General features: G+C 45.6%; 3 pseudogenes across 1 annotated transcript; 1 reads left to right on the top strand and 2 right to left on the bottom strand.

Moving 5' to 3' along the window:
* Nucleotides 2,913–5,417, bottom strand: HLA-T (major histocompatibility complex, class I, T (pseudogene); annotated as a pseudogene).
* On the bottom strand, nt 10,781–14,287 carry HLA-H (major histocompatibility complex, class I, H (pseudogene); annotated as a pseudogene). The gene is made up of 8 exons (NR_001434.4): nt 14,030–14,287; nt 13,636–13,905; nt 13,118–13,393; nt 12,256–12,532; nt 12,037–12,153; nt 11,564–11,596; nt 11,375–11,421; nt 10,781–11,207 (listed from the first exon to the last, which is right to left on the bottom strand). The product of NR_001434.4 is annotated as a major histocompatibility complex, class I, H (pseudogene) (transcript).
* HCG4P7 (HLA complex group 4 pseudogene 7) lies at nt 14,853–15,750 on the top strand (annotated as a pseudogene).

The raw sequence follows: 23,688 nt of genomic DNA, 5'->3' as shown, positions 1-23,688 counted from the left end.
TTTATCTGGATGCCTTTAATTTTTAATTTTCTGCCTTATTGCACTGGCTACAATCTCCAGTATAATATTAAATAAAAGTGGTGGGATTGGACATCCTTGCATTGATCCCCATCTTAGGAGAAAAGCATTCAGTCTTCAGTCTTTCTTCATTAAGTTTGATTTTAGCTGTGGGTTTTTTATAGACGCCCTTTATCAGAGTGAAGAAGGTCTCCTCCATTCCTATTTTGTTGAAACTTATGAACATGAGTGATGTTAACATTTTTGTCAACTGTTTCTCCTGCATCTTTTGAGATAATTATGTCTTTTTTTCCATTAATACAGTGCATTCCATGAACTGATTTTCAAATGTTAATCCAACCATATGTTCCTGGGATGAATCCCATTGGTCATGGAGTGTAATCCTTTTTTATGTGGCTTTGTATTATCTGCCAATGTTTGTTAAGGATGTTTTCATTTATGTTTATTGGTGACACTGGTGTATGGCACTCTTTTCCTGTGAGTCTTGCTGTGACTTTGATATGAGGGTAATGCCAGTTCTGTAAATGGGCTGGAAAGTCTTCCCTCCTCTCTTCTTGTCTGAAAGAGCTTTCAAAATATTTGATAGAATTCACCAGTGAAGATATCTGGGCTTTGGCATTTCTTTTTGAGAAGGTTTTTCAATTTCTGACTTAGTTCACAGTTCTCTTCAGGTTTTCCAGTTAATTTGGGTCAGTTTTGGCAATTTCTATCTCTGCACGAATTGGTCCTTTTTATCCAAGTGGTCTAACTTATTGGCTTCAGGTTTTTCAGAGTATTCACTTATAATGTTTTTTAACTTCCTAAGGGTCATTAGTGATAATCTCTCTTTTGTTCACAATTTTGGTAATTTATCTTATTTCTCATAATCTCTTTTTTCACTGTTGGTCAAGAAAACAGACAGAGGCAGCAGATGGAGATGTGACAGATTCTCTAGTGGGAAGGCTTTGATCATAATACCTGGCAAGCCAGAATGATGCCAGCAACCCCAAAGGAGCTGCCAATGGATCTTGACAGGAAAATCACTGACTCTGGATTGGGCTATGCTCAACCAGGGGTAGATGTCAATGCTTCAAGGGCTATACAAGAACCAGAAAAGAAGAGATTGCACCAATTTGGACTGCCGAGTCACACTTCTTTACACAAGAAAACACACTTTACAGCCTCAAATGGCCAACAATGCAGAGGGACATGTCCTCCTCAGGGGAAAATTTGATAGAAAATTGAAATGGTCAATTGAAACATTGTTTGTCTAAAAACTGCCAATCTAATTGTTGGGCAATATAAACATGAAGGACTGGCTTTTATATCTTCATGAATGTGCTCGCTGTCAACATGAGTGGGGCTGCAAGAATAACTCCACTAGGTAGCATCCTCTCTTTTACCTGATGGATCAGGACGATGCTGTTATGACGATACATACAATTCTTCTGAAGAGGAGAGGATGCTGGAATAAAGACTACACTTCACCTCAAATTTATTTTTTCATATGTTATGCCATAGTACCAGGAATAGGGATGTAAATAAAAGTGCCAGAAACAGGAATTATCCCTAAGCCAAAAACCATAACTATATTTTTATACCTTTATGTAAGAATTCTCAAGTATTCATTTCATCTGGAAAAGTTAGGATTAACAGTAAGTAGAGTTATATAGCCTGGTGGTCTTGATAGCCCCCACTAGTTCCTTACCTATATAACCTACCCTCTATGATCAAGACTAGACTGAGGGAAGACATGCTAGAATACTATTGCTGCCTGCAGTCTAGGCCAGCCCAGCAGACAAACCTAATGTCACTCCCAAACCTGGAAACAACTGATATAAAGGGACAGAGGGAGGAATAGTGGCTGAGGGCAAGTGAATAAATCAAAGGGTTATATAATGAGAAAAATTCAATATTAGCTTAACTCCTCAAAGGTGGTGTGAGCAAGAGAAGATATTGTCACTTAGGTCAATTATACTGGATGCCTAAAAGAGTGAAGCTGTATGTCCCTGAGACCATTCTTGTTTTTGGAACCTGGTAAGATTGAGTGTTGTCAGCAAAGCTGAGTGATTTCATTCTGGGAGACATATTCATACAAGAGGATGATAAACTGGCCTAATTTTGAATGAATGGATGAGACTCTGATAATATGCCAATACCTCTTTACTGTTACAATCCTTTTTCCTGTAAAAGATATGTGGTCAAAGAAAAGTGGGCAATCTGAGTTATCACAAAAACATTTAGACTTTGTCCCTGGTTTCTCCTAAAAACCTTAGACTCTCTTGAGTGATAAGTGTCTTTAGAGTACTGATGAGAAGACTCTTGGCTGAGTGGATCCTGGATATCTTAAGAACGGTGGCTAGCTGCCAGAGACACATACCTGTGATGCGAGTGTTATCTTTTTCCATTTTGTGTTGCTATAAAGAAATGTCTGAGACTGACTAATTTATATAAACAAGGTTCATGTGGCTCAAGATTCTGATGTCTGGAAATGTTTGCGCATTTAGTGAGGGCCTCAGGCTGCTTCCACTCATGGCAGAAGACAAAGGTGAGCTGGTATATGCAGAGAACACATGGTAACAGAGGAACAGAGAGAGTAGGAAGTTGCCAGGGTCTTTTTAACAACTAGCTCTCTTGGAAAATAATAAAGCAACAATTCATTCATTCCCAAGAGAGGGCAGTATCTCTCTATTCATAAAAGATTGGTCACCATGACCCAAATGGTGGCCATTAGGCCCCACGTCCCACAGTGGGCATCAGATTTTAACATGAGGTATCAGGGGATAAATGTTTATATCATTGCATCCCCTCCCTAGCCAGCCAAAGGTCATGTTCTTCTCACATTGCAAAATATAATAATCTTCTCCCAATTGTCCCAAATGTGTTAGGTTGTTCCAGCATCAACTCAAAATTCCAGAGTCTCATCTGAGACTCAAGATAAATTCTTATAGCTTTGAGCCTGTAAAATTTTTTTTAAAAAATGTTATTTACATCTAAAATATTAATACAACAGTGGAAGAGACATTTCTTGTACATTTCCATTCCAAAAGGTATATAAATGGGCCAAAAGAAATGAATGCAGTTTCCTCACAAGATTGAAACTCATCATGGCAGACATTAAAACTTAAAGGTCTAAAAGAATCTCCTTTGACTGTATATTTTGAATCCAGAGCACAGTGGCTGGTGCAACTGCTGGGCTCCTAATGCCATTTGCAGCTCCACATTTATGGCTTTGCTGAACATAACCCATATAGCTGCTGTCATGGGAGAAAATTGAATGCCTATGGCTTTTCCAGGCTGAGGTTGCACATAGCCAGTGGCTCTACCATTTAGTAGTCCTGGCAGGGGTCCTACTGCTGCAGCTCTGCTAAGAATTGTCCTGGGTATTAAATTTCCCCATTTAAATATCAGTTCCAGTTTTGGGTCGTTTCTTTGCTCACACATATGCACATAGGCTATTACAGGCAGCCAGACCAAATCCTGAATTCTATGCTACTGAGAAATTTCTTCCATCAGATACCCTTAATCATCACTCTCAAGTTTAAAGTTCCACAGATCCCTAGGGAGGTGGCACAATGCCTCCAAGAACTATCACAAGAACAGCATGAAAGAGATGATTCTAAACCATTCATGAATGATCCATCCTCATGAGCCAATCACGTCCCACCAAGCACCACCTCCAACATTAGGGATTACAAGTGAGCATGAGATTTGGGTGGGGACACAGATCCAAACAGTATCAGGGGTCATGGTGGACATGAGGGTGGGCTGGTCTCTCCACTTCTCACATGTTACCAGGGACATAGACACATTCAGATGCCTTGGCAGAAAGAGAAGACAGAGGCCCTTGAAGTCTCAAAGTGGAGCCATGAACAAATCTTGCATCTCAGTCCCTCACAAGGCAGTCTTAGAAAGAAAATAGTCATGAACAAATTCAAGTCAGTCATGGTAAGTGGTGACACTGAACAGCCCACCACACATTGAAAAATTCCAAATCAAAGACTCTCTAGAGCCTAGTTGTGTCCCATCTGCCCCAACTCCTCCTTCACTTCAGGCCCTCTAAGGTGCCACTTTTACAAGACTTGAGAGACACATCAGAGCCCTGGGTACTGTTCCTGTTTGGGGTGGAACAAAAACAAAGTCTGGTCAGAGCCCACAGGTGATGTGACTAAAGGAGGAATTTTGGGGTGGCTGTGCTCCCCCATGGGCTCCTGTCTACACTATTCCAAGGATCTCAGGAATCATTCTCCCACCCCTACCACACTTACTTGAAGCCTGAGCATAGCTGACTCCTTTTCCATATGAGGAAAGAAAACAAACTGTGAGACGCCAGGGAAGAGGCAGGGCCATGAAATCCTAGAGGAGTTTCCAGAACTGTGACTGCAGACCCAGGTCAGGATCAGGAAACCCGAGGGAAGAGGATGTGTTGAAGCTGAACCAAATGTCCTTTTGACATCTGTCCTCAGCAGGAACATTCTCCTGACTTGTGACTGCTGGGAGTCAGGTTCCCATGATCACAATCAAGGTGATAAATTTGTCCTTCAATTTCACAGGTGCTTTACAAAAGAGTGAGAGTTGACATGGCATCTGAACAGGGTAAATGTGTGTGGAGATAGTGTCTCACAACTAGGCAGGAAATGAGCCAACTTCCATCTGGAGCTTGAAATCCACGAATGGAAGAAGAAATCTTGGAACTCACCCCTTTCCTACCTGGGGTCTTATTCTTCCACATCACAGCAGTGACCACAGCACCTAGAACAACCAGGACAGTAACAATGCCCACGATGGGGAATGTGGGCTGGGAAGATGGCCCTAAGAAAGGAGGGGAACGTGAGGGGTCCTGACCCCCAGGCCTCAGCCCTGACCCTGCTGAAGGCCTCCAGAAAGGCTCCTGCTTTCCCTGAGAAGAGACATGGCCCCTCATTCATCTCCTTAGCCCATCTCAGTGTGAGGGGCTCTGGCAGTGCCTCCTGCTGCACATGGCATGTGTATCTCTACTTGTCTCTAGAAGACAGCACCACAGCTGCCCACTTCTGGAAGGTTCTATACCCTGCAGGTCTGGTCCCCACAAGCTCTGTGTCCTAAATTTGGTCCTCCCCATCCCACAGTTGGGTCACTGTGATTTCCACATGGTAGAAGCCCGGGACCCAGCACCTCAGGGTGGCCTCATGGTCCGAGATGGGGTAGTGGATCCCACATGTATTCTGGGATTCTGAGGGGAAGAGTAAGAAAATTCAGGCACTTTGCATTCCTCATGGGACACTCCAGCAGCACCCATGTGACCATCCTGAGAATGGATAGGACATCTGGGGTGGGGAAGGGAGAACAGAACCCAGACACCTCCTGGCCACAGGCACCTGGGATAATCTCCTATTCCTTGGAAAGTTAGTGTCTGAGGCATTGAATAATTTAGAGTCTGCCGAGTGCCTGGGATTGAAGGCACGCGCCACCACGCCTGACTGGTTTTCATATTTTTTTGGTGGAGACGGGATTTCGCTGTGTTGGCCAGGCTGGTCTCCAGCTCCTAACTGCGAGTGATCTGCCAGCCTCGGCCTCCTGAGGTGCCGGGATTGCAGACGGAGTCTCACTCACTCAGTGCTCAATGTTGCCCAGGCTGGAGTGCAGTGGCGTGATCTCGGCTCGCTACAACCTCTGCCTCCCAGCCGCCTGCCTTGGCCTCCCAAAGTGCCAAGATTGCAGCCTCTTCCCGGCCGCCATCCCGTCTAGGAAGTGAGGAGCGTCTCTGCCCGGCCGCCCATCATCTGAGATGTGGGGAGCGCCTCTGCCCTGCCGCCTTGTCTGGGATGTGAGGAGCGCCTCTGCCCGGCCGCGACCCCGTCTGGGAGGTAAGGAGCGTCTCTCCCCGGCCGCCCCGTCTGAGAGGTGAGGAGCCCCTCCACCCAGCAGCCGCCCAGTCTGGGAAGTGAGGAGAGTCTCCGCCCGGCAGACGCCCCGTCCGGGAGGTGGGGGGCAGCCCCCGCCCGGCCAGCCGCCCCGTCCAGGAGGGAGGTGGGGGGCAGCCCCTGCCCGGCCAGCCGTCCGTCCGGGAGGGAGGTGGGGGGCAGCCCCCGCCCGGCCAGCCACCCCGTCCAGGAGGTGGGGGGCACCTCTGCCTGGCCACCCCGTCTGGGAAGTGAGGAGCCCCTCTGCCCGGCCGCCACCCTGTCTGGGAGGTGTACCCAACAGCTCATTGAGAACGGGCCATGATGATGATGGCGGTTTTGTCGAATAGAAAGGGGGGAAATGTGGGGAAAAGACAGAGAAATCAGATTGTTGCTGTGTCTGTGTAGAAAGAAGCAGACATAGGAGACTCCATTTTGTTCTGTACTAAGAAAAATTCTTCTGCCTTGGGATGCTGTTAATCTATAACCTTACCCCCAACCCCGTGCTCTCTGAGACATGTGCTGTGTCCACTAAGGGTTAAATGGATTAAGGGCGGTGCAAGATGTGCTTTGTTAAACAGATGCTTGAAGGCAAAAAAAAAAAAAAAAAAGAATGCCCAAAATGACAATTTTCTGACTCAAGCATCTACAAAAATATTTGCCTAATCAGGGTGCTTTGCAATTAGAAAAATGTGAGTCTCACATCTTTGTCTGTACAACTAGCTTAGCATCATGACAATGATTTGGTTTGATGTGGTAGGTGGAAATGGTTAACTTCAATCTAGGAACAAGATTTTTCAGTAACTGGCTATTCAGTGGGCATCCTGTGATCAGTTTAACATCTTTCACTGTGGTTTTTAATTAGATGTGGTAGAAGTGATTTGGACTCCAGTATGATTCTGAAAAACACTGTTATTTTGTGCTTCTAATGTTGCTTTAAAAGCAGCTCTTTCGTGTTTTCCATTCTTATTGCTATTTCATCACTAGTTATTCATTTATGTCTTTTCATTTAATTTATTTTGCTCAACAATGCTTTTTTTCTATTCTGTAAAAGTTTAGTTCACTTGTTTGTGTGGTAAAATGTGAGCAACATATCAAATTCTCAAATTCTTTGCAAGATACTATTGCCTTGCCTATCAGATTGAACACTGTGTATCAGAAAATGTAGAGAGTCGCCAACTAGCCAAGGATCAAATGACCTATTTGTAGCCAAGGCTGTTTTTCATGGCATCCTGGTCCTCTCACATGGCTCCTTAAAATTGGCTGTGGCTTGTTTTTTGTAGTTGTCTGTTTGTTCGTTTTGAGATGGAGTATGGCTCTGTCACCCAGGCTGGAGTGCGATGGCAGGATCTCAGCTCACTGCAACTTCTGCCTTCCAGGTTCAAACGATTCTCCTGCATCAGCCTTCTGAGTAGCTTGGATTACAGACACGCACCAACACGCCCAGCTAATTTTTGTATTTTTAGTAAAGACAAGGTTTCACCATGTTGGTCAGGCTGGTCTCGAACTCCTGATCTCGTGATCCACAGGCCTCGACTTCCCAAAGTGCTAGGATCACAGAAGTGAGCCACCGTGCCCGGCCAGCTGCGGCTTTGTTTTACTATGAGTAGTTATCGCAAAGGATGCTTGTGATGAACTTTGGCATTTTCTTTTCTCTTTCATTTCCAAATAATCAATCAGGAATGGCACACAAGGTGCATTTTGAAAAATACCACTTTAAAGATTTGTGGGCCAGGAGTGGTGGCTCATGCCTGTAATCTCAGCAATTTGGTAGGCTGAAGTGGGTGGATCACCTGAGGTCAGGAGTTCCAGACCAACCTGGTCAACATGGTGAAGCCCGTCTCTACTAAAAATACAAAAATTAGCTGGGAGTGGTGGCATTTGCCTGCAATCCCAGCTGCTCAGGAGGCTGAGGCAGGAGAATCCCTTGAACCTGGGAGGCGGAGGTTGCAGTGAACTGAGTTCATGCCACTGTACTCCAGCCTGGGCAACAAGAGCGAGACTCAAAATATATAAATAAATAAATAAAGTTTTATGATCAAGTAACTAACTACCTGGATATCCCCTCCTGGCATAAGAAACAGAACCTATGAAGCCACCCTAGGCTGTTGTCCAATCCTATCCCCTAAAAGGAACCTATGTCTTGAGTCTTGTATTTGCTATTCCTTGGCATTGTCACTGAAGATTTTTACAATAAGTATATATATACCCAAATCACAGTTTGACCTGTTTTTTTTTTAACTTCCCCATACAGAGAACTCACACCGCATGTACATTATGTGTTGGAGAGTTATCTCTGATGTGGGAGGGTGCTTATCCTTTTAATTTTTTTTTTTTCTTTTTGAGATGGAGTTTCACTCTTGTTGCTCAGGCTGGAGTGTAGGGGCGGGATCTCAGCTCACTTGATCTCAGCTGCTTGGTTCAGCTCCATCTAGCATCTTTCCCCACACTGTCACCCCCAGCACCAGGGGACTGAGGGTTGATGACCTGGTACACCACCGCCTGGATCTGCTGCAGTGTCCTTTCCTGTCTAGTCCGCACTCAAAGCTGACCTCTTCCTATATTATACCCAGACAGTGGGCCAAACAATATACTTAGATGTGGAATGTGGTGTTGCCAGGACACAGAGAAGCTCACCAGGTAGTGTGCTTCCTTCCTTCTGTTGAGGATGCAAGATGCAAGTTTGTCTTTTACTTTGGAGAGGACAGCCCTGCATGCCCCTAACCACTGGACCCATAACACTTCACTGCAGTGGCCACTCTTGAAGCTCTGTAAGGTTAATCTTCACCTTCTGTAGTGCACATGTTTTGCCAAAGAACTCAGCATACTTTCCTCCTCTTGCTCATCCATCCCAATCTATGTGATATTGCCAATGAAATGAAGAGATTTAGTATTCTGTGAGATGTCTGATTTGTCCAGATCTCTTAAGGTGATATTTATAGAAGGTTGAGGAGTTAAAGTAGCCCTGAGGCAAGCTATCAATAAATGTATTATAAATCCCATGTGAATGTGAATCATTCCATATCCATTTTCTAAATGGAATGGGAAAGAATGCACTCACCAAATGCATGGCTGTTTGCCATGTGCCTGAGGCCTTATTAATCTCCCCAAGCAGTGATATCCAGCCAGCATGGCAGCTGCAATCAGGACTCCTACTTGGTCAAGTCTGGAGTAATTCCATTCATTCTTTATCAGGCTTCTTCAGGGATAGACTGCTGAATTATATGGAGATAATAGGCAATCCCAACACCACCCCCCATCCTTCAGCTCTCTAATGGCAGTGCCACCCCTACAATATCTGCAGTACCCTCCTGAAGTCCCACCTGGGGCGCAATATTGCTTCTGGCTTGGTTGGGATGAGGGAAGTTTTAGATGATGATTCCCTTTGGGCTTCAGCACAATGATAGCCCTTACTCTCCAGACTAGGGATGTAGTGTGGGGGTGACCCTCTTTGCCAGTGCATCAAGGCCAATTATGCATGTGGAGAATGGGGAGATAACCAGGACTGGGTTTATGAACCCAGTGGTCCCACAGTGGGCCATAATGTGTCCAGGTTTACTTCCTGGCCTCCTTAAGCCCCACTGTGGATTCTGAATCTGAAGCTTGGCTGAAGTCTAGGAATTGAGACTGGGATCATGACTTTGTATTTAGTCAAACACCCTCAGTCTCCTGCTCCTCAATTCTTGCATTCCCATCATAGATATGAAGCAGTGCCCTCGCTGGCTGCCCATCTGTTCTGACGCTGGGACACCACCTTTTACTAACCTTTCCCAAAACTCCATGAAGGTTGAGCCCCTTTGGCTGCTACTCTGGGTTCTCACAGTAACTGTGCCCTCTATCTTTTGCAGGTCACTGCAAAGGAGGGTTCCTAAAGCATTCACTCCTGATCCTGAGGGAGGTGGGTGCACTCACTCCAGGTCTCAGGTCCGCCACAGAAAAGCAAAAACTCCTCACATTCAAAACTGTCCTGGGCCACATTCAGCCTGCGAGCTATGGGTTGGACAAGCTAGCATCTAGAACATATGTACCACAACGCCAGAAATTTTTCTATTTTCACCTTAATGATGCTTTCTAAATGCAAAAGCAGTCATATCCCTAGCAGACAACAAATGTCAGTTGAATGAATGATCACTGTAAAGCACTTCTCTATTCTGAAGCCAATATCTTTGTTAAGGTAGCCTCAGGGCAAATGCTGTTTTGTGGCAGCTAAAGAACAACATCATCTCATGTGGACATCGATGCCGCCAGTGCTTTTCTCACTAGGACTGCTTGTGTGTCCTCCCTCCCTCCCTACCTCCTCCCACACCAACCCTCTTGCACACTGCAGCACACAACCATATTTTTCTCTTCAGGAAAGATAACCCTAGGCTTATGGGTACAATTTTCCAACCACGTATGAATCTAAATTAGACTCTGCTTTGTAAATCCATGAGTTTGGATTGGAGCCAGCACTAGGATTACTACAACTCAGGGAAGGAAGAAGAGTAAGAGAGCAGAAGAGGAGCTCCAACAAAAAGTTCACTATGATGAGAAACTATGGGACCCCTCCTCTCTGCAAATTTTAGAATCTGCTTCCTTTAAAAAGATTGGAGGCAAGATGAAAAATACAATCCAGGAAAGAGCCCTGGGAGGAGGGCAAGAGCTGGACAGGTCTGAAAATTAGTCTCTTGATACCACAATGAGATTTGTATGCAGGGACCACCGTAGGTGACATCCAAGTCCCTGTGATCACAGGTGGTGGTAGGACAAGGTTCTACTGAAGGGCCAAGGAGAATGAAGGAGCAAAGATGACCCAGCTGAGCAGTGACCACATAAAGTCCATACTGGCCTGAGCACCCACTAGGCACAGCCCCATCTATTCTCCTCCCCTGCAACAAATCAGCACAAGAAACACATGGACTCTGGAAGGTTCTCATGTGTTCCATTTATTTTGTCTCTCAAATTTTAGGAATCTTCTCCTTTAATTAAGTCATCAACCTCTCATGGCAAGAATTTGAAAAAGTAAATGTTTACTCAGATTCTAATTTTAAGAGGGAAGTAAGAAGTTACAGCTCAGTGCACATAAAGTTGAGAAAAAGATGGAGACATCTCAGCCCCTCCTCTCTGGAACAGGAAAGATGATTGGGGAGGGAACACAGATCAGCGTGGGGAAGAGGGTCATGGTGGACATGAGGGTGGGTTGGTCTCCCCTCCTCCACACATTATGCCTACAGGAACACAGACACATTCAGGTGCCTTTGTAGAAAGAAAGTCAGGGTTCTTCAAGTCACAAAGGGAAGGCAGGAACAACTCTTGCCTCTCAGTCCCACACAAGGCAGCTGTCTCACACTATAGAAAAAATATTCATGAACAAATTCATATCTGTCCCAGTAATGGATGACACTTTGGCAGCCCATCGCATGCTCAAAACATCAAATTCAAAGAACCCCATAGCACAGCTGTGTCCACTGTTCCCCCCCAACATCCCCCACACATCAGGCCCCCCAAGGTCTCACCTTTCAAGCCGTGAGAGACACATCAGAGCCCTGGGCACTGTTGCTGCCTCGAGTAGAATAAAAACAGGACCTGGTCAGATCCCACAGTAGATGTGGCTAGAGGAAGAATTGTGGGGTGGGTGAGCTCCCCCATGGGCTCCCAAACACAATATCCAAAGGATTTCAGGGATCAGCCTCCTTCATACTTACTTGCAGCCTGAGAGTAGCTCCCTCCTTTTCTATCTGTGGGAAGAAAATGTCCTGTGAGATGCCAGAAAGAAGCCAGGGCCATAAGGTCCTAGAGGAACCTCCAAGTCTCGGACCCCAGAGAAGTTTCCAGAAATGTGCAACTGCAGACCCAGGGTGGGATCAGGAAACATGAAGAAAGCAGATATGGGTCCTGGACCAACCGCCCTTCTGAGGTCTGTCCTTGGGGACCTTCCCCTGTGACTTGTGACTGCTGGGATCAGGTCCCATCACCACAGTCATCAAGGTGATAAATCTGTCCCTCATTGTAACAGGTGCTTTACAAAAGAGTAAGTGCTGGCACACACGGCCCAGGCTGGGTAGGCCCATGAGTGTGGATGGTGCTTCCCAGTAACCAGGCAGGGCACTTCTACCTGGGGCTTGGAACTCTCAGTGAGACAAGAAATCTCAGACCACACTCCTCACCCCTTCCTTACCTGAGCTCTTCTTCCTCCACATTACAGCAGCGACCACAGCTCCAGTGACCACAGCTACAAGTAGAACCAGGCCAGCAACGATGCCCACGATGGGGACGTTGGGCTGGGAAGATGGCTCTGGGAAAAGGGGGGAAGGTGAGGGACCCTGACCCTGCTAAAGCTCTCCAGAGAGGCTCCGGCTTTCCCTAAGAGACATGACACCCCCATCTCCCTCCTTACCCCATCTCAGGGTGAGGGGCTCGGGCAGACCCTCATGCTGCACATGGCAGGTGTATCTCTGCTCCTCTCCAGAAGGCACCACCACAGCCGCCCACTTCTGGAAGGTTCCATCCCCTGCAGGCCTGGTCTCCACGAGCTCCGTGTCCTGGGTCTGGTCCTCCCCATCCCGCTGCCAGGTCAGTGTGATCTCCGCAGGGTAGAAGCCCAGGGCCCAGCACCTCAGGGTGGCCTCATGGTCAGAGATGGGGTGGTGGGTCATATGTGTCTTGGGGGGGGTCTGACGGGAAGAGTCAGAAAATTCAGGCATTTTGCATCTGTCATGGGACACTCCTCCAGCACGCATGTGGCCATCTTGAGAATGGACAGGATGCCTGGGGTGGGGAAGGGAGCACAGAACCCAGACAACAGCCTGGACACAGGCACCTGGGATAATCTCCTATTCCGTGGAAAATTCTAGTCCCTGAAGAGGGAACAGCGACTTCTGGTCCTGACCTGAGTGGAGGCTGAGGGACTCAGAAGAGCTGGACTCAGACCCCCACGCACATTGAGTGTGAAGCAGAGAACAAGGCCTGAGAGGAAAAGTCACGGGGCCCAAGGCTGCTGCCAGTGTCAAAGGGAACCACTCATCAGTATTCCAGGGATTGTCTTCCCTTCATTTCCTCACAGATTTCATCCCTTAATTGTGTCAGAGAGCAGGGCGGACCCTCAGAGTCACTCTCTGGAAACCCAGGAGGATTCTTCTCCCTCAAGACCAGAGGGAGGGCGATATTATAGTGTTGGTCCCATTTGTCTCCCTTTCTTGTGGGAGGCCAGCCCCGGAGATCTACAGGCGATCCGGGAGGCGCCCTGTGGCCCCTGGTACCCGCGCGCTGCAGCGTCTCCTTCCCGTTCTCCAGGTATCTGCGGAGCCACTCCACGAACTCGCCCTCCAGGTAGGCTCTCAGCTGCTCCGCCCGACGGGCCGCCTCCCACTTGCGCTTGGTGATCTGAGCTGCCATGTCCGCCGCGGTCCAGGAGCGCAGGTCCTCGTTCAGGGCGATGTAATCCTTGCCGTCGTAGGCGTGCTGTTCATACCCGCGGAGGAAGCGCCCGTCGGGCCCCACGTCGCAGCCATACATCACCTGCATGGTGTGAGAACCTGGCCCCGCCCCCGCGGTCAGCCCGGTCCCCCGAGCCCCGCCCTGCCCCGACCAACCCGCGGGGGTTTTGGCCTAAACTGAAAATGAAACCGGGTAAAGGCGCCTGGGCCTCTCCCAGGTCAAGGGTCTCGGGGTCCCGCGGTTTCGGGGTGGATCTCGGACCCAGAGACTCGAGGCGACCCGGCCCTCCGTGGGGGATGGGGAGGGGTCGTGACCTGCGCCCCGGGCCGGGGTCACTCACCGCCCTCGCTCTGGTTGTAGTAGCGGAGCGCGATCCGCAGGTTCTCTCGTTCAGTCTGTGCCTGGGCCTTGCAGATCTGTGTGTTCCGGTCCCAATACTCTGGCCCCTCCCGCTCCATCCACGGCGCCCGCGGCTCCTCTCTCGGACTCGCGTCGTCGCTGTCGAACCGCACGAACTGCGTATCGTCCACGTAGCCGACGGAGATGAAGCGGGGCTCCCCGCGGCCGGGCCGGGACATGGTGGTGTAGAAATACCTCATGGAGTGGGAGCCTGGGAGCGAGGAGGAGCTGAGACCGGCCCGACCCTCCTCCCTGCGCGGATCCCCGGGTCCTGCGCCCCCGCCGGGCGGGCCCCTCGCTCCTCCCGACCATTTCCCTGCAGACCCTGCACTCACGCGCCCAGGTCTGGGTCAGGGTCAGGGCCAGGGCCCCTGAGAGCAGCAGGAGGAGGGTTCGGGGCGCCATGAGCACCATCCTCGGCGTCTGGGGAGAATCTGAGTCCCGGTGGGTGCGTGGGGACTTTAGAACCGGGACCGCGGCGGCACCGATTGGCTTCTCTAGAAACCCGACACCTAGTGGGAATGAGAACTGTGTCCGCTTCGTGAGTATCAAGGAAGAAGGACCCGTCGCAGGTTGTGAGAAGAAGAGAAACTGCGGAGGTGGCGAATCCCTAAGGCGGGGCATCCCCAATCCATACACCGCCTTCGGGGCCTGAGACCCTGAGAGCCACGCCTGGGGCCCTGGGACTTCGCCCTGACCCCGCTCCTCCTGTGCCAAGCGCTCTGTCTCAGTGTTTCCCTGAGTCTTGGCCCAGGAGCTGTCTGAGAAACCAGGAAGAAACCCTCGGCATGGGCCCTGTCCCTCTCCCTTCACTTTTCATCCCGGAATCTCCGTCCCTGAACTGGACTCCCTGTCCACCTGGACTCTTCTAGAAGAAAACTCACCCACGGAGTTTGGTGACAGAGAGTGAGCTTGCTCTGGGAATGGAGGTGTAGAAACTGTTTTTTGTTTTCCTTTTTGTTTTTTTTTTTTATTGGGAAAAGTTGTGCCTGAGTGCATGAGACAGAATAGAGACCAGTTTATTTATTTATTTGTTTATTAAATACATTGGATAGCAGAACCTTGGTAACCCCTGAATGATCAGGAATCTAATCGGTAAAAAATGTGACTTTGGCCCCATGATGTATAAATGTGCCCAAAAGCGTTACAACAGGACTCACAAAGCTTCTAAGTTTCACTTTTGCAGTGTACCTGTGACTCCCGCTTGTCATATTTTAAATTTGCCATCATTCCATAGCTTTGAGTTTCTGTGTGAGTCCAGGATATCTCCTCAATACAAAGTAGCACACTGTGTACTTTGCAACCAGGTACGTTACAACCAGGAGTCAGTACAGGCTTTATTCACCTCAAAGTTGCAACTGTTCAATGTAGTCGCAATGCCCCTCACTAGTGCTCATGCACTGTCTGTTTTTAGGAAGTATCCACTGCTAAGTGTTGTGTATATTTTATAGGAACACTTAGTAATTTTTAAACCTGATTAACATTAAAAAATTAGTTTTTAGGCAGACCCACATAAAGTATTAAAGGCCAACTGCCAAGGACATCCTGCAGGGCTCTGTAGATGGATGTATTAAAATCCATAAAACAATGTATTTAAACCTAAGAATTCTGCTGCTTTCGAATTCTTTCCTCTGCTCCTTTTCTTCACCTCCTGCTTCTCCAACCCTTCCCTCCATTCTTCTCATCCTTCAGGCCGTCCTGTCCCCTTAGTCCCCACCACACTGTCACTTGTGAATTGTGACACTAGCACTGTCCCATGACCTGTTACGTGACTGTTCTTTTCACAGTGGTCCTGCTCCTGGGAGTCAGAATGTGTCATCTCTCCACTTAAAACACTCCAGTGTCTCCACCTCGGTCTTGTGAAACTTCTGGAGTGTCAGGCACGTGAGCATATGAGGGGATATCTGGTTTATCGTAGGGACTAAATTAATTTTTGTCGACTGAATGAATGAAATATGAGTGTATTAAATTGCATTACAGATAATTATAAAGTGCAAAACACGGAAGAAGTTCAGAAAGATTTTATTTTATGTAACTAGTGTGCATATCAATTCATCAATTCATTCGTGCACTACCACGCCTGGCGAAACAACACCCATTTATCTGCTTATAGTTCCTTGATCAGAAATCTGGGCAAAATGTGGATGGAATCTCTCTTCTGGGCTTCCAAAAGCTGTGTTTTCATTTTGAATCCTCCTTCAGGCTTATACAGAGGTGGCAGAATGCAGTTTCTGGCAGTTGTAAGACTGAGGTCCCTGTTCCTTGCTGGCTGTCAATGTAGAGAACAGGGAGGGCTGTGCTTGATTCCTGGTCCTCACCAGCATTCTTTCCTACACAGCCCCTTCATTTTTAATTTTATTTATTTATTTTTTTGAGATGGAGTCTCGCTCTGTAGCCCAGGCTTGGGTGCAGTGGCGGGATCTCGGCTTACTGCCAGCTATGGCTCCCGGGTTCACGCCATTCTCCTGTCTCAGCCTCCCAAGCAGCTGGGACTACAGGCACCCGCCACTACGCTTGGCTATTTTTTTTTTTTTTTTTGTATTCTTAGTAGAGACAGGGTTTCACCGTGTTAGCCAGGATGGTCTCGATCTCCTGACCTCGTGATCCGCCCGCCTCATCCTCCCAAAGTGCTGGGATTACAGGCGTGAGCCACCGCACCTGGCCCACAGCCCCTTCATTTTCAAAGCCCATGCTGGAGGAAACCCCTCATGCTGAGTCCCTCTCACACTGTGAGTCTCTATGCTCAGGAAGAACCCAGTCCTTTCAAGGTCTCACCTGATTAGGACAGTCCAAGCAGGATAAACCCAGCCTAAAGTCAACTAATTGAGACCCTTAATTATATCCACTAACTCCCTTCACAGCAGCACCTACATTAGAGTTGATTGAATAACTGGAGGATGGTGAATGACCAGGAGCTGGTTGTTGAGGGCATAATAGAATCAGCCTAGCAAGGGTTGGATCTTCCTTTTGTGTTTACTTCGGACACAGTTGGAAATTGAAGTTCAAGTAAAGTGATCATTGTGAATGGTCATAAAATACATCCTCTTCAGCCATGGAAATTCTCCTTACCTTTTAAAACTAAGTTACGTGTTTAATATCTTATAATTAATTTACGCCAGGTATGGTGGCTCATGCCTGCCATCCTAGCACTGTGGAAGGCAGAGGAAGGCAGATTTGTTGACTCCAGAAGTTCAAGATCAGCCTGGGCAAAACCCCCATCTATACAAAAAATTAGAAAATTAGCCAGGCATAGTAGTTCATGACGGTAGTCCCAGCTACTCAGGAGGCTGAGATCAGTGGGTCCCTTGACCCCAGGAGGTCGACACTGCAGTACATGGTGATCATGCCACTGCACTCCAGCCTGGGTGACAGAGCGAGACCGTGTCTCAAAAATAATAATGATGACGATGATACATTTAAAGCAAATGCAATTTAATGTGTAATAATACATCCTCTCTTGTGAAAGTGTATTATTTATTTACTATTGCATAACAAATTATGTAAAACTTAGCTCAAAACAACAAATATTCCTCATCTGCCGCAGTTTCCAATGGTCAGGAGTCCAGGAGAGGTTTCCCTGAGTGCTTCTTGCTCGGGGCCTCTCACAAGGTTGCAGTACAGTTGTCAGCCAAGGGCTGCATCATCTGAGGGCTTCACTGGGGCTGAGGATTCACATGAAACATGGATCAGTCATATGGCTGTTGGAAAAGGCCTAGTTCTTTGTTGTCTGTTCCCAGAACGCCTCGGTTCTCAGCCACATGGACCTTCCTGCAGGGCTGCTTGTGGCACAGCAGCTGGCTTCCCCCAGAGCTCATGATCCCAGAGACAGAGAGAGAGAAGGTGGAAGCCACAGTGAGTTTTAGGTTCTACACCCAGAGTCACAAACCATTATGTCAGCATTATTCTGTAAGTTAGAAGTTATATTAGTCCATTCTCACACTGCTATAAAGAAATACCTGAGACTGGGTAATTTATAAAGGAGAGAGGTTTAATTGACTCACAGTTCTGCATGGCTGAGGAGCCTGCCCCAGGAAACTTACAGTCATGGCAGAAGTGGAAGCAAACACATCCTTCTTCACATGATGACAGGAGAGAGAAATGCAGAATGAAGCAGGGAAAAGCCCCTTATAAAACCATCAGATTGCATGAGAATTCCCTCAGTATCACGAGAACAGCATGGGGGCACCGCCTCCATTATCCAATCACCTCCCATGTGGTCCCTCCCCCAATAGGTAGGGATTACAATTCGCATAACAATTCAAGATGAGATTTGGGTGGGAACACAGAACCAGGCCATATCAGAAGTGCCTCATTAAGTCCAAGCCACACTCAGGAGAGGGAATTAAGATGCACCTCTGGAAGGGAACAGTATCAAATGTTTTGAATATATGTTAAAAGCAAAATTATAACTATTGTTTCAGGTTTTTGAAAATCAAAGACTTCTTTTATCTAATTATTTTTCATTAACTCTTTCAGCTTGTCTTTTTCTTTAAGCTTGTTTTTTAATTTAATTTTTTTTAAGTTTCAGGGTACACGTGCAGGATGTGCAGGTTTGTTACATAGGTAAACATGTGCCATGTTGGTTTGCTGCACCTGTCAACTCATCACCTAGGTATTAACCCTGGCATGCATTAGCTATTTTTGCTAATGATCCTCCCACCACCACCCTGCCCCAATAGGCCCCAGTGTGTGTTGTTCCTCTCCCTGTGTCCATGTGTTCTCATTACTCAGTTCCCAATTATAAATGAGAACATGTGGTGTTTGGTTTTCCATTCCTGTGTGAGTTTGCTGAGGATAATGGCTTCCAGCTTCATCCATATCCCTGCAAAGGACTTGATCTCATTCCTTTTTATGGCTGCATAATATTCCATGGTGTATATGTACCACATTTTCTTTATCCAGTCCATCATTGATGGGCATTTGGGTTGATTCCATGTCTTTGCTATTGTGAATAGTGCTGCCATGAATGTAAACATGCATATATCTTTATAATAGAATGATTTATATTCCTTTGGGTATATACCCTGTAATGCAATTGCTGGATCAAATGGTATTTCTGATTCTAAATCTCTGAGGAATCACCACATTGTCACTGTCTTCCACAATGGATTAACCAATTTACTTTTCCACCAACAGTGTAAAAGCATTCCTATTTCTCTGCAACCTCGCCAGCATCTGGTGTTTCTTGACTTTTTAATAATTGCCATTCTGACTGGCATGAGATGGTACCTCATTTGTGGTTTTGATTTGCATTTCTCTAATGATCAGCGATGTTGAGCTTTTTTTCGTATTTTTGTTGGCCACATGTATGTCTTCTTTAGAAGTGTCTGTTCAAGTTCTTTGTCTACTTTTTATTGAAGTTTTTTTTCATGTAAATTTGCTTAAGTTCTTTGTGGATTCTGATTACTAGACTTTTGTCAGATGGATAGACTGCAAAATTTTTCTCCCATTCTGTAGGATGTCTGTTCACTGTGATTGATGATAGTTTCTTTTGCTGTGCAGAAAAAAATGCCTAATCAAATTGCTTTTCATTTACAAAAATGTGAATCTCATACTTCAGTAAACACACCTAGCTTAGCATGATGCCAATAATTTTGGCTTGATGCTGTAGCCTGAAATGGTTAGTTCTAATTGAGAAACAAGTTTTTTTCAAAAACTGGCTATTTGATGGGCATTCTATAATAAACTTAACATCTTTTGTTGTGGTATTGAATGAGATGTGATAGAAGTGATTTGGACACCACTGTGATTCTAAATAGCGCTGCTATTACATGCTTCTGAATTTTTTTTTTTCTTTTTAGCAGTCCTATTCTGTTTTCCATTCATATTTGCTATTCCATCACTGGGTATTCCTTCCTACTCTTTTCATGTTTCATTTATTTTGATCAATGATGTGCATTTCCAATCTGTAAAAGTTTATTTCAGTTTAATGTGTGGTAAAATGTAACATCAAATCTTTGCAAGATGAAATTATCTTGCACAGCAGATTGAACATTGTATCATTGAAAATCTAGAGAGATGCCAGGGAGCCAAGGATCAAATGACCTATTTGTAGCCAAGGCCATTTTCATGGCATCCTGGTCCTCTCTGTCACATGGCTCCTTACAATTCTCTGTGGTTTTCTTCCAATGTAAGTAGTTCTTGTTAAGAATCTTTGCAATGAACTTTGAAATTCTTTTCTTTTTCATTTCTATAAAAAACAGGTATATTTTAATTTGGAAAACTCTGTTTAAGGAATTATAATCAAGTATCTACCAGGGTGCCCAGCACTGGTGTAAAACACAAACCTGTAAAGCTACCCTGGGCTGCTACCCAGTCACCCCCTAGAAGGAGACCGTTGGGAGCAAGTCCCCCAAAATCTGGCCATAAACTGGCCCCAAGACTGGCCATAAACAAAATCTCTGCAGCACCATAACATGTTCATAATGGCCCTAACGTCCAAGCTGGAAGGTTGCGGGTTTACGAGAATGAGGGCAAGGAACACCTGGCCTGCCCAGGGCGGAAAACCGCTTAAAGGCATTCTTAAGCCACAAACAATAGCATGAGTGATCTCTGTCTTAAGGGTGTGTTCCTGCTGCAATTAACTAGCCCAACTTATTCCTTTAATTCGGCCCATCCCTTTGTTTCCCATAAGGGATACTTTTAGTTAATTTAATATCTATAGAGACAATGCTAATGACCGGTTTGCTGTTAATAAATATGTGGGTAAATATCTGTTTGGGGCTCTCAGCTCTGAAGACTGTGAGACCCCCAATTTCCCACTTCACACCTCTATATTTCTGTGTGTGTGTCTTTAATTCCTCTAGCACCACTGGGTTAGAGTCTCTCTGACTGACCTGGTCTTGGCAAGTGGTGTCCATTTGTGGGGGCTCATATCCAGGTCGAAGGGTCACCAGAGCAATGGTTGGAATGGGAAACTAGCTGGAGGACACCCGAGTACTCTTAAAGCAATCCCTGTCGTGCGTAAGAAGGGGAGCTCGGAAGTGTCAGGGTAACAATGGGACAGGTATGGGGTCTGGTTCATTTCACCTTGGAACTTTTTCACACTGGTAATGAGGAGGAACAAGAGTATAGCGAAGTAACAGAAGAGGTTACAGAGCATGTTTATTTGCCAGCTAAAGCTAAAGCAGCAAAGGAAGGAGAGATTCATCCCTACCCTTCTGCACCCCCTCCTTATTATTTTGATGAAGATGACCCCCCACATCTTTCTTTTCTGGAGGACACTGGGCAAAAAGTAATTGCCCCAGTGACTGTTCGAGCAGCGCCTCATGTGACAGCTCTTAGTTCTATTCAGGCAGGAATTCAGCAAGCTAGACAAGAGGGTGATTTAGAGGCTTGGCAGTTCCCTGTTAGAATACACCCCCCAGATCAACAGGGAAATATTATAGCTACATTTGAGCCTTTCCCTTTTAAATTACTCAAAGAATTTAAACAAGCTATTCATACTAAAAAAGAATGTAGAAAAAGTCAGTGAGTCAGGCCGCCAGACAGAGGAAAAAAGAAAACTGTTGAGCCTGAAATATGTCCAAAATGTAAAAAAGGAAAACATTGGGCTAGTCAATGTCACTCTAAGTTTGATAAACAAGGGAACTCATTCTCAGGAAACACCATGAGGGGCCCGTCCCGGGCCCCATTCTAAACCAGGGCATTTCCAGCTCAGGCCATTCCCTCACCCCTGTACAATGTCCTTCCCCAGCCACAGCTGGTAGTGCCGCATTAGATTTATGCTGCACAAAATCTGTGAGCCTTCTGCCTGGGGAACCCCAGCAAAAGGTCCCAACAGGAGTCTGTGGACCCTTGCCAGCAGGGAAAATAGGATTACTTTTAGGAAGGCCTAGTTTAAGTTTAAAAGGCGTACAAATACATACAGGAGTCATTGATTCAGTTTACAATGGGGAAATTCAAATTCTTGTATCTACTTCTGTTCCCTGGAAAGCAGAGCCAGGAGAGCACATAGCACAGCTCCTGATTTTGCCATATGTGGGAATGGGAAAAAGTGAAATTAAATGAACAGGAGGATTTGGAAGCACAAATAAACAAGGCAAAGAAGCTTATTGGGTGAATCAAATTACTAATGAACATCCTACCTGTGAAATAACTATTCAGGGAAAGAAATGTAAAGGTTTGGTAGATACAGGAGCAGACATTTCAATCATTTCTCTACAGCACTGGCCGTCCATGTGGCCAATTCAACCCGCTCAATTTAACATAGTTGGAGTTGGTAAAGCTGCTGAAGTATATCAAAATAGTTACATTTTGCATTGTGAGGGGCCTGATGGACAACCTGGGACTATTCAACCAGTTATCACTTCTGTACCTATACATTTATGGGGAAGAGATTTATTACAACAATGGAGAGCACAAGTTCTAATTCCAGATCAATTATATATCCCTGAAAATCAACAAACAATGCATGAAATGGGGTATGTCCCTGGTATGGGACTAGAAAAAAATTTGCAAGGTTTAAAAAGTTCCCACCAAAGATTAAGATATCATTTTTTATGGTGGCTATTGTTAAGCCTTCCGAACCTATACCTTTAAAATGGTTAATGGATAAGCCAATTTGGATAGAACAATGGCCACTAAGTAAAGAAAAACTGGAGGCTTTAGAGAAATTAGTTGTTGAACAATTAGAAAATGGGCACATAGCTCCAATATTTTCCCCTTGGAATTCTCCAGTTTTTTTTAATTAAGAAAAAATCAGGTAAATGGAGAATGTTAACTGACTTAAGAGCCATCAATTCAGTTATACAACCTATGGGAGCATTACAGCCAGGATTACTTTCTCCTGCTATAATTCAAAAAAATTGGCCTTTAATAGTCATAGATTTAAAGGACTGTTTCTTTACTATCCCTTTAGCTGAGCAAGACTGTGAACGGTTTGCATTTACAATTCCTGCAGTAAACAACCTGCAGCCTGCTAAGTGTTATCATTGGAAAGTGTTGCCACAGGGCATGTTAAACAGTCCCACAATTTGCCAGACATATGTGGGGCAAGCAATTGAACCTACTTGTAAAAAATTTTCACAATGTTACATTATTCACTATGTGGATGATATAGTTTGTGCTGCCCCCACTCGAGAAATATTACTTCAATGTTATGATCACTTGCAAAATTCGATTTCTCATGCTGATTTAATTATAGCTCCTGACAAAATTCAGACCACTACTCCCTACTCCTACTTGGGGACCTTAGTAAATGACACTACCATTGTGCCACAGACAGTAACCATACGTAGGGATCAACTAAAAATATTAAATGACTTTCAAAAATTACTAGGGGATATTAATTGGATACGACCTGCTCTAAGCATTCCTACCTATGCCATGAGTAATCTGTTTTCTATCCTTAGAGGAAATCCTAGTCTCACTAGCCCTCAGCAATTAACAAAGGAGGCAGAGGCAGAGTTACAACTGATTGAGGAGCAAGTCCATAAAGCTCAGTTAAATAGAATAGATCCAGAGAAGACTCTAGATTTGCTAATTTTTTCAACTCAGCATTCACCTACTGGTGTTATTGTCCAAGAACAGGACTTAGTGGAGTGGCTTTTTCTTTCACATACTAATTTATGGACTCTAACTCCTTATTTAGATCAAATCACTACTATGATAGGGATTGGGAGAACTCGGATTGTTAAATTACATGGATATGATCCTGGAAAAATTCTTGTCCCTCTCACGAAGGCACAAATACGCAAGCTTTTATAAATAGTCTTACTCAGCAAACCCATTTTAGCTGACTTTGTGGGTATTCTGGATAATCATTTTCCTAAAATGAAGCTGTTTCAGTTTTTCAAATTAACTAATTGGATTCTCCCTAAAATAAACTTAAACCAATTGAAGGTGCTGAGAATGTTTTTACAGATGGGTCTAGTAATGGTAAAGCTTCTTATTCTGGCTCAAAAAGTAAAGTTTTTCAGACGCCCTATACTTCAGCTCAAAAAGCAGAGCTTGTAGCTGTAATTGAGGTATTGACTGCTTTTGATATGCCTAT

Source organism: Homo sapiens, chromosome 6 (genome assembly GCF_000001405.40).
Source record: "Homo sapiens chromosome 6, GRCh38.p14 Primary Assembly".
Taxonomy (NCBI): Eukaryota; Metazoa; Chordata; class Mammalia; order Primates; family Hominidae; genus Homo; species Homo sapiens.
This window is presented reverse-complemented; position numbering and strand designations above follow the sequence as displayed.